Source organism: Homo sapiens, chromosome 5 (genome assembly GCF_000001405.40).
Source record: "Homo sapiens chromosome 5, GRCh38.p14 Primary Assembly".
In the NCBI taxonomy this organism is placed as follows: domain Eukaryota; kingdom Metazoa; phylum Chordata; class Mammalia; order Primates; family Hominidae; genus Homo; species Homo sapiens.
Window position 1 is genome coordinate 85461607 of NC_000005.10, and position 10152 is coordinate 85471758.

The window sequence follows — 10152 nt, forward strand, 5'->3', positions numbered from 1 at the left end:
TTTCAAACTCCTGGCCTCAAGTGGTCCTCGTGCCTTGGACTTCCAAAGCACTGGGATTACAGGTGTGAGCTACTGTGCCTGTACTCAATTGTGTCATTATTGTAGTAAACACTCATCTGCTCTTAAGCATAGCCATTTTATATCTTGTTGTACCATTAATTGCTTTATTCTAATGCTTTTCTGAAAGTTTTTTATAAGCAACTATAATCCTAAAGTGTTATCTCTTCAGGGAGATTCATGGAAAAGAAGGAAAGTACTCTGACAAATACAGATTTCTGATAACATTAAGATTATACCATTGGACCAGGTAAGAATTTCTAGAACTCTAACTCTGTTGGATTTGTGAAACTGCTAAGAACAAACAAAACAATAATTAATTACATGAGACAGAATGAGCTGATAAAAATAATTATGAATTTATGCATCTTATTAATTTGAAATATTGCTTTTAAAAAATGCTCTGGTTTTCAGATTTAAAGATTATGTTTTTCTTTTGAGCTATATATAGTTTACAGAAATTTGGTAAAGTCTATTCTTGTGAACAGAAATGGAAACATTTACTTTTTCTCCCTATCTTATCCATCCAGAATTTAGAAACTATTCAGGAATATTGTTATTTTAGGGAAATATAATTATTTGGATAAGCTAAATTATAATCAACTCCCTTTATAACAAGATACCATTAGAAATACTGGTTATATTACCACAGCTTTAAAAGGGATGTCATTTGAGAATTCACATAGAATGAATCTATAGGTACTGCAGGTGAAGTCTGAAGTCTGCTTTGATTTGACTTTTAGCCTTGAGAGGTTTTAAAGTCCAGTCTAAGATTCTCTGTCAAAAGTTCCAGTAAAGTCAACTGCAAAAGAGCCTATGTGATCAATATATATTTTTCCTGTAGTTATGTAAATAATCTGACCAAGTTTAATGAAACTGTACTGGTTTTGCAAACAAATTGATTTCATTCCATTTATCTTTGTTAGAAATGAGGGTAACTGTAGAGAGAAAAAAAATTAAGTTTCTGAAGAAAAGCTATAGGTATACCTGTTATTATATTGTAGTCCTTTTTATTGTTTTCAAGTTTTTATGATCTACCCGTATACAGGACTGGATCCTGAATTCTTCTAATTTCCTGCAACATCTGGCTACAGCTCTCCAACTGAGAACAACAATTGCTCTATTCCTGAAACCCTACAACCTGAAGCTGGAAAACTTGATGTAAAATTCACCCTTGCAATTTTTACACCCTTGTCTTGTGCCCTATATGGGCCACACAGAAAATTTACTAAAATCCTTCATGCCATAATCAGAGACATTCAAACTGCAAACAACGAGGACATATTAATGATTTCCTGCTGTGAGTGGCTTTTCCTCAAGACATCAGAACAGGAGTTTCCATCATAGTAGGACTCTTACTCTTATTTTTTTCTTGTGCGTGCCTACCCTTTTTGCTTGGTGGAATAATGCTATACATACAAATTCACAGTCAGCAGCTTCTGTGAATAACTTGATGAAATGTTGGATCTGTCACACCAAATCCAAATATTTACCTCACCCAAGGGATTCTTTAATCCACTAGTGAGTAACTTGAGCAATATCCATTGTGCAACTATTGTTCAAATTATACCCCAGGTCTCTTTTATAGAATAAAATTTGTATACCCATTTATTCTCACTCCCTGCTTTAGTTTAACCTGTCATGGGATGCTAGATTTTCTACTACCTGAACAGAAAAGAGTCTGTAAGGCTGATGGCACTTCTTATTGCATATGGATAAATACATCAGGTGTTGTACAAATTCAGTTGCAAAAAATTGGTAAACCAATTACTTGGTTAAAATAGGTAAGATTTATTGCCTGACTCGTTCTTTGTCTATTCAATTTTGGTTGGTTTGGTTTATGGTGACCCTAGCTAAGGGATATACTCCAAACTCTTGGTATTATCCTCTTGATAGTCATAATACTAGTCTTCCTGGTGCAATACGCCCTCTCAGAAAATCTTAAATGTCCACATGCAGCCGTCTGCTGAATACTAAGTGGCCTTTCTGGATGCAATAATAAAAACTTCAAGTAACATATGACAATCAATACACTGTAACTTATGAAAGATATGTTAAAACCCAAATCCCAAAATGATGGTGACTGAGAGTAGCATTAGTGCTTTAGGTTTGGTTCTACTTGAGATCCTAACTAAAAATGGGAAATTGTTAAATAAAATGTGTAGGAGACCATTGGTTTGAACTTTCTGTTCTAGGCCCAACAAACTAAACCCAAATGGAGTTGCTCATGCTGACGTTCCACATGACAAAACCAAAACTAAGTGTTTATCTGACCTTCCAAGAAATCAGAAGAAGGAAAAAACAGCCAAATCCCCACATAGGACATTTTTAGCCAGCATAATAACAAAGTCACCTTTGCTTTAACCTTTACAAGGAAAGTAACTCTGAAATGACCAGACTGCTTCATCTTCTGTATTTTTGCTTTCCTCAGCCCTTTCTCTCTATAAGTCCAAAAATGCTTAATATGAGGTTATGTTATAGGAGTTATTAAGAAATTACTTTAGGCAGATAGAGAGGAAAAAGGGTCCTTGGAAAGTTTTTGTTTCTTTTAAAGCAGCTCCAGAAACATTTCTTGTCTAGCAGGAAAGCCCCGGTTCTTAGAGGCTCAGGGGATTGGTTTGACCAGGCAATCTTTGATATGCAATTGCAAGCCATTAAAAACTGGGTCCCACAATTGTGTCTGCGCAAGGGTTGTGGCCCTTTCTGATCCCTAGTGCTGTTGGGCCTATTGGTCTTTGTCAAGCCATGGATGCAGGTCTCTATTCAGCAGGATGGGGTTTGTTAAAGTTGTTAAGAATAAGGCCTACTTTGAAAGATACTAAGTGAAATTTAGAAGATGATGAGAGGGTAAAACTGATTTCTGTGCTTGGACATGCTTGGAGATACAGGACAAAAATAAATACAGCACACCCAAATACAGAATGATAGTTCATGTAACAAAGATATCATTTATTAGATTGCTTATGCCCATATAGACGGGGATATGATAGTCTGCGCATCATATGCATACAAACTGCCAAAATATGGTGTGAAGTTGGCCTGACAAATTATGCTGCAGTGTATTGGACAGGCGTGCTGCTGGCCCACAGGCTTCTCAATAGATTTGGCGTGGACAAGATCTATGAAGGCCAAGTGGAGGTGACTGGCAATGAATACAATGTGGAAAGCATTGATGGCCAGCCAGGTGCCTTTACCTGCTATTTGGACACAGGCCTTGCCAGAACTACCACTGGCAATAAAGTTTTTGGTGCCCTGAAGGGAGCTGTCAATGGAAGCTTGTCTGTCCCTCACAGTACCAAACAATTCCCTGGTTATGATTCTGAAAGCAAGGAATTTAATGCAGAAGTACAGAGGAAGCACATCATGGACCAGAATGTTGCAGAGTACATACACTACTTAATGGAAGATGCTTACAAGAAAGAGTTCTCTCAATACATAAAGAATAGTGTAACTCCAGACATGAAGGAGGAGATGTATAAGAAAGCTTATGCTGCTATACGAGAGAATCCAGTCTATGAAAAGAACCCCAAGAAAGAAGTTAAAAAGAAGAGGTGGAACCGTCCCAAAATGTCCCTTGCTCAGAAGAAAGATGGGGTAGCTCAAAAGAAGGCAAGCTTCCTCAGAGCTCAGATGCAGGCTGCTGAGAGCTAAACCAAACAATTTTCCATGACGATTTTTCAGATAAAGACAACAAACTTATAGACAGAAAAAAATAAAATAAAAAAAAGAAACTGGGTCCACCCAAACATGGCAATTCCTACCACCTTCTTCTTGTCCTTGCCTCACATGTGCCTGGCATCATGGCCGCCCCCACATATCTCCATGTGTGTGGAACATCATGGCGCTCTGTATTTGCATATTGAATGACTAGATGGGAAGGCCAGTTTTTCACAGGCTACATGAATGACATGCCTGGTCAAACCAATCCCCTGAACCCTATGCAAACCAGACACCACCTCCTCCATCCTCTTCATATTAACTGGCTGATTTCTGCCACACTTGGGGTTTTCTCTTTGCTCCAATACCCCCTCCCTCTGTCTCTGCATGGGAGAGCTGTTTTCTTCTTCCTTCCTTCTTTCTTGCCTATTAAACCTTTCACTCCTTAAAACCACTTCACGTGTGTCTATGTCATTTTATCCAAACCAGCGCGAGGACCAAGAACCCTGGTGTTCCTCCACTCATCAGAGCTGCAGCAGTTACAATGGGGCCAAAACCACTATGCCTTTACTGTTAATAAGTTGGGTTTACACTTCCATCTTAGAAGCAACAAAAACTCCTGTTGTACTTTAGTATTGTTTATATTTGATCTAGATTGTATAGCCTGAGCTCTTCAAAGTTTTTTAGCAATGCAGGAAAAAATATTAGGAAATAATGTGCAAATACATAAAGAAAATTTAAGAAAATATTTGGTTTGATTCATTAAGATTCACATTATAAGATTATACATTATAGCGAGAGGGAAAAAGACTGGTTTAAACTTAAGACATTAATCATTCAACAAACACTTATTGAATTCAGTGTGAGCAAAGCTCTAATAACGCAAAAATGAATAGTTTCTTGACTAAAGTCTAGTAAGGGAGAAAAATTGGAAAACAATAAATATGAAGTGTAGAAAGATTGCACAAAAAATACAAAAGGAGAATAAACAAATAACAGAAACTCATAGAAATTAACCAATTGCTTGAGTAAATTGGGATATATTTTTCAGGAAGTTTGAGATTTGAGCTGTGCCTAGATGAATGAATAAATTTCCAAGGTAGAGGGGAAATAGCATTTCTGATATCAGAAGTAGCACTGTGCAAAATTTCAAATGTATGAAGTTCTGTAACAGACTCAGGGAAAGAAGAATTGTTCTGTGATAGGAAAACTTTGTAATAAACGTGAATAAAACAAAGGAAGTCAGAAAATTATGTGGATCTTTAAAAGTACAAACTGTAAAGCACTTATTAATGATGTCATGGGTTGAGACACACTGACTTTTATAAAGTTAAGTATATATCAAGAAAATAGAGAAAATTAGGCTTTTGTATTAGCTCACATTTGGCATTTTTAATGATTTTCAGTATGATGAACATTACTTATCAGTCAAAAGTCAAAAATATTTAGTAAGAGCCAATATGAAAGAGACAGGGAACTAGATGATGTAGAATAGGTATAGGTGCCCTTGGAAGTTGTATTTCCATCCTAACAAAAGAAAAGCTAAACAAACTAAAAACCAAAGAGTTTTCTTGGCCCCATAAGGGCACTGTATTAACAGGGAAAACTGCCACCTTCAAGTTGAGAGAGAGAGATGACTCCAGAGAGCTGCAATTGAGATCTACTATCTAGAGCAGAAGTTGTTGGAGCCATAAACGGGTAGTAACACTTAAATGGTAATTTTGATGAATTTTGGGAGACTTAGTGCTGGTAACTGAGTGTGGGTTAGTGTGAGAGTCAGAAATTCCAAATTTCAGGGGTACCCCCACACTTTCAGTGGGTATTGCCTTCAGAAACACCACCAAGTTCTCATAGTGAAGAGCCAAGATAGATTCTCTAGTGGCTCTGACTGTGGAGGGGAAAGGTAACAAAAAAATTTCCAAGAGTTTCCTCCATAACAAAGGCCCACTATCCAGGGGAAATAATTCATAAAACCATGTTCTACCTAGGGAAAAGGCATAGAGTACTGTCTGAATTCAATCTTCTTTAGCCTACCGGTATCAAATAACGATGGGGGCTGGTGGGGAGCACTTGTGAAGGCGACAGCCCAGGGACACAGCTGTACTAAAAGGCTAATATTTAAGCATAAGATTATAGAATGCTTTCTTGACACAACCTTTGCAAAATTATGACAGTATGAGAAATCTGACATAGCTGACTCCATCTTGCTTCTATCCTCTAAACTGTCCTTGCTTATTCTTGGGCATAACTAACTAACTTTCGGAGCAATTTTGTTTATAGTTTAACTTTAAAGCAAGTATAACAGCCCTTCCCAAACTTACTCTCTCCATGCTTGGGGACAAAAACTACGTTTGTAAAACTAACAAATTAGGGCTGGGTATGGTGGCTCACGCCTGTAATCCCAGCACTTTGGGAGGCCGAGGCGGGAGGAATCACGAGGTCAGGAGATCGAGACCATCCTGGCTAACATGGTGAAACCCCGTCTCTACTAAAAATACAGAAAAAAAAAAAAATTAACCAGGCGGGGTGGTGGGCGCCTGTAGTCCCGGCTACTCGGGAGGCTAAGGCAGGGGAATGGCGTGAACCTGGGAGGCGGAGCTTGCAGTGAGCCGAGATCGCACCACTGCACTCTAGCCTGGGTGACAGAGCGAGACTCCATCTCAAAAAAAAAAAAAAAAAACAAGAACGTGCATTCTGATATACCAGCTGGTGCCAACTAGACTGTTAAACTGGTTCAACTTGTCTTGTAATCCCATCCAGAAACTGACTCAGTGCAAGAGGACAAGTTTCATCCCCTATAATTTCATCACCAACCCAGTGAATATTCCCTATCCTCTAGCCCCCTGCCTGTCCTATTATTCTTTAAAAAATTAGCCACTAAATTTGAATTGTGTTATGAACTCCTGTGTGTTGTTTGACTGGCTCTGTGTTTATTAAACTCTTTCTCTATTGCAATACGGCTGTGTTAGTAAATCAGCTGTATCTGTGCAGAGGACAAGAAGGACCCACTGGACAATTACATTCCACCCTCCACACTTCTCCATATCAATAGTACTCCAGGATAATAATAGTGGATTACAGATATAAGATCTGCAAGATATATATTTTATTTTTAATATACGTTATCTTGTAAAAGTTCTTATTGAAGCTTAAAAACAACAGAAGAGACAAAACAAGACACTGGGGATATTTTAAGCCTCCATGACCTACAAATACAGAAAACATTAAATGCTGTTCAATTCCTAGGATGATTATTTTAGATACTCTGCATAGGTATAATGGTACCTGACCCAGATTTGCTTCAGACATGGCAACTGGTGACAGCATAAAAACATTAAGAGGATATGAAATATTTATTACTTTTATGGTGGAGGTTTTCTGGAGAGAACAGAGTAGACTTCTTTTAAGGGTCAAGGGAAAACTTTCCCTTCACCTTCTGAAGATTTGCTAAAAAATCAATGGACAAAAGGCAGATTTATAGGAGAAATGGCATACAATTTATTCATGTGTTTGGGGGAGAACCACAAAGTTATTATCCCCAAATCCCCAGTGGGGTATAGAAGTTTGTATATTTCTTGTTTCAGAGAGAAAAGGGAGGTGGGGAATATTTATAATTCTGTTGAGGGGCAATAAATGATTATTAGGGAAAATTAATAAAGCAGGGAACAGAGATTAACCTGTAAATGGTTCTCCTTAGAAAATGAATGAGCCTGAGAGACAGACGCTGTCTTGTGAAAGGGTCAGTTCAGGTGTTTTTACATTCTTCAGTCTTCTGCTCTGCGATAGATAATCAGATAACAGAGACGAGAAGGAAAAACAATTGTTCTCCTTGGGGGGTCCGTCTAGTCTCTATGTAAATGAAGGAAATATTTTTTCCAGTGTCTACTGATGTTTAAGGGCCTTTAATTCAAAATACCCATTATAACAGGGAGCCATTTTGGGGGTTGAAATATTTTGGTTTGCTTCACTCTGAAAGGGGTCTGAAATGACTGAAGAGAGCAAGAAAATGAGACTGGTTCAGGGTTTTTATTACGGATAGTGGGTGGACACTGGGTGAGGCTTCCTGGGCACAATCATGGGTTCCTCACCAGTGTCAAAAGAAGCAGAATCCAAGATTTCTTATCAGATTGACCAGATGGATGGCACCAGGGTACAGGGAAGAATGAGGCACAAAGCTGCCAGTAGTCAAACATCAAAATTTGAGTCAGACTCCTTACCATATATATTAACATAAAACTTCACAGCAAAGGCATATTGATCTCAATTTCTATTACTAGTAACATTACCTTTTTCAATAAAAAATTAGAAGGAAAAAAACCCAAGAAAACAAATATTATGAGGAGTCAAAACAACAAACTAAGTATCAGAACATGACTTATGGCACAGGTTTTTAAAATATCAGAGAGGGATTTATAATAACTATGATTGATATATTAAGGGGTCTAATGAAAAAGTAGATTCAAGAACATATGGGAAATGAAGTAAAAAGATAAAAACTTCAAGAAGCAATCAAAATAAATGTAGGAAATCAGAAACACTGTAACAGAAATGAAGAATGCCTTAAATAGGTAGACAGCAAATGGATTTGAAAAGAATCACTGAGCTTGAAGATATTTCAGTACAAACTTCTCAAACTAAAATGCAAAGTGAAGAAAGAATAATAATGGAAACAAAAACTGCAGCAACAAAACCAAACAAAATATCCAGAACTGTGGGATAATTTCAAAAAGCATAACATTTGCTTTATTGGAATATTGAAAGGAGCATAAGGAAGGAATCAAGCAGAAGAACCGTTTGAGCAATAATAGCTGAGAACTTTCCAAATATAATCACAAATACCAAACCACAGTCCAAGAAGCTCAGATAATACTAAGCAGGATGAATGCCAAAAAAAATAATAATAATCTAAACCTAGGCATATCATATTCAAATGTCAATAAACCAAAGATAAAGAGAAGATCTTAAAGAACCCAGAGGAAAGTCCAACACCTTACTTATAAGGAAATAAAGTTAAGAATTACACTGAACTTTTCATTAAAAAGCATATCATCATGAGAGAAGAGAAGGAAGTATTTAAAGTATTGAAAGAAAAATTGCCAAGCTAGAATTTTATATCCAGTGAAATTATCTTTATCAAGTGCAGGGAAATAATTTCTGAGACAAAAAAAAAAATAGGAGTGTGTTGACAGCATATCCACCTTTCAAGGAAGATCATTGAGAATAAATAACTCAAATTGAAACTAAAAAAATATTTTTTAACTTTTAATTGATCTGAAAATAACTGTATTTAAAGTAATAATACTAGTAATATATTTGGTGATTGTAAACTTGCATAGATAAGATAAATGAAAGCAATGACAAAATAAATGGAAAAAAATTGACAATGCGCCAGTATCAGCCATCTTTACTACACATGTAGTGTCATAGTATTAATTGAAGGTTTGTATGGATTAGGTAAAAAAGCATATTATGATCTCTAGGGAATTCTCCAAAATGAAAAATGCAAATACAATTTATGTGATAAAAGAGAAAGTAAATTAGAATAGAAGAAAATGCCCAATTCAAAGATAGTAGAAAAAGTAAAAATAAGTGATGTGAAAAAAAAGAAGGCGGCTGGGCACAGTGGCTCACACCTGTAATCCAATCATGGGAGGCCAAGGCATGGGGATCATGAGGTCAAGAGATCAAGACCATTCTGGCCAACATGGTGAAACCCCGTCTCTACTAAAAATACAAAAATTAGCTGGGTATGGTGGCATGTGCCTGTAGTCCCAGATGCTCGGGAGGCTGAGGCAGGATAATCACTTGAACCTGGGAGGCGGAGGTTGCAGTGAGTCGAGATCGCGCCACTGTACTCCAGCCTGGTGACAGAGCAAGACTCCGTCTCAAAAAAAAGAAGAAGAAGAAGAGGAAGAAGAAGGAGAAGGAGAAGGAGAAGGAGAAGGAGAAGGAGAAGGAGAAGGAGAGGAAGAGGAAGAAGAAGAAGAAGGAAGAAGAAGAAGAAGAAGAAGAAGAAGAAGAGGAGAAGAAGAAGAAGAAGAAGAAGAAGAAGAAGAAGAAGAAGAAGAAGAAGAAGAAGAAGAAGAAGAAGAAGAAAACAGTTACAAATATGGTAATACTAACCCAACTTTATCAATACTTACTTTAAACAAGAATTTCAAAATAGACAAATTTAAGAATATAGATTGTCATAAAGCATTTTTAGAAAGACAAATAATATATTGTCTATAAGAAACTCATTTTAAATATAAAGACTGAGATATAGAGTGAAAACATAAAATGTGGTACATATATACCATGGAATACTATGTGGCCGTAAAACAGAATGAGATCATGTCCTTTGCAAAACATGGATGGAGCTGGAGGCTGTTATCCTTAGTAAACTAACACAAGGACAAAAAAACAAAAGCCGCATGTTTTCACTTATAATTGGGAGCT

The 10152-nt window shown here is 37.0% G+C and overlaps 1 pseudogene; it reads left to right on the forward strand.

Annotated features, from left to right (window-relative positions):
* Window positions 2766-3766, forward strand: RPL5P17 (ribosomal protein L5 pseudogene 17; annotated as a pseudogene).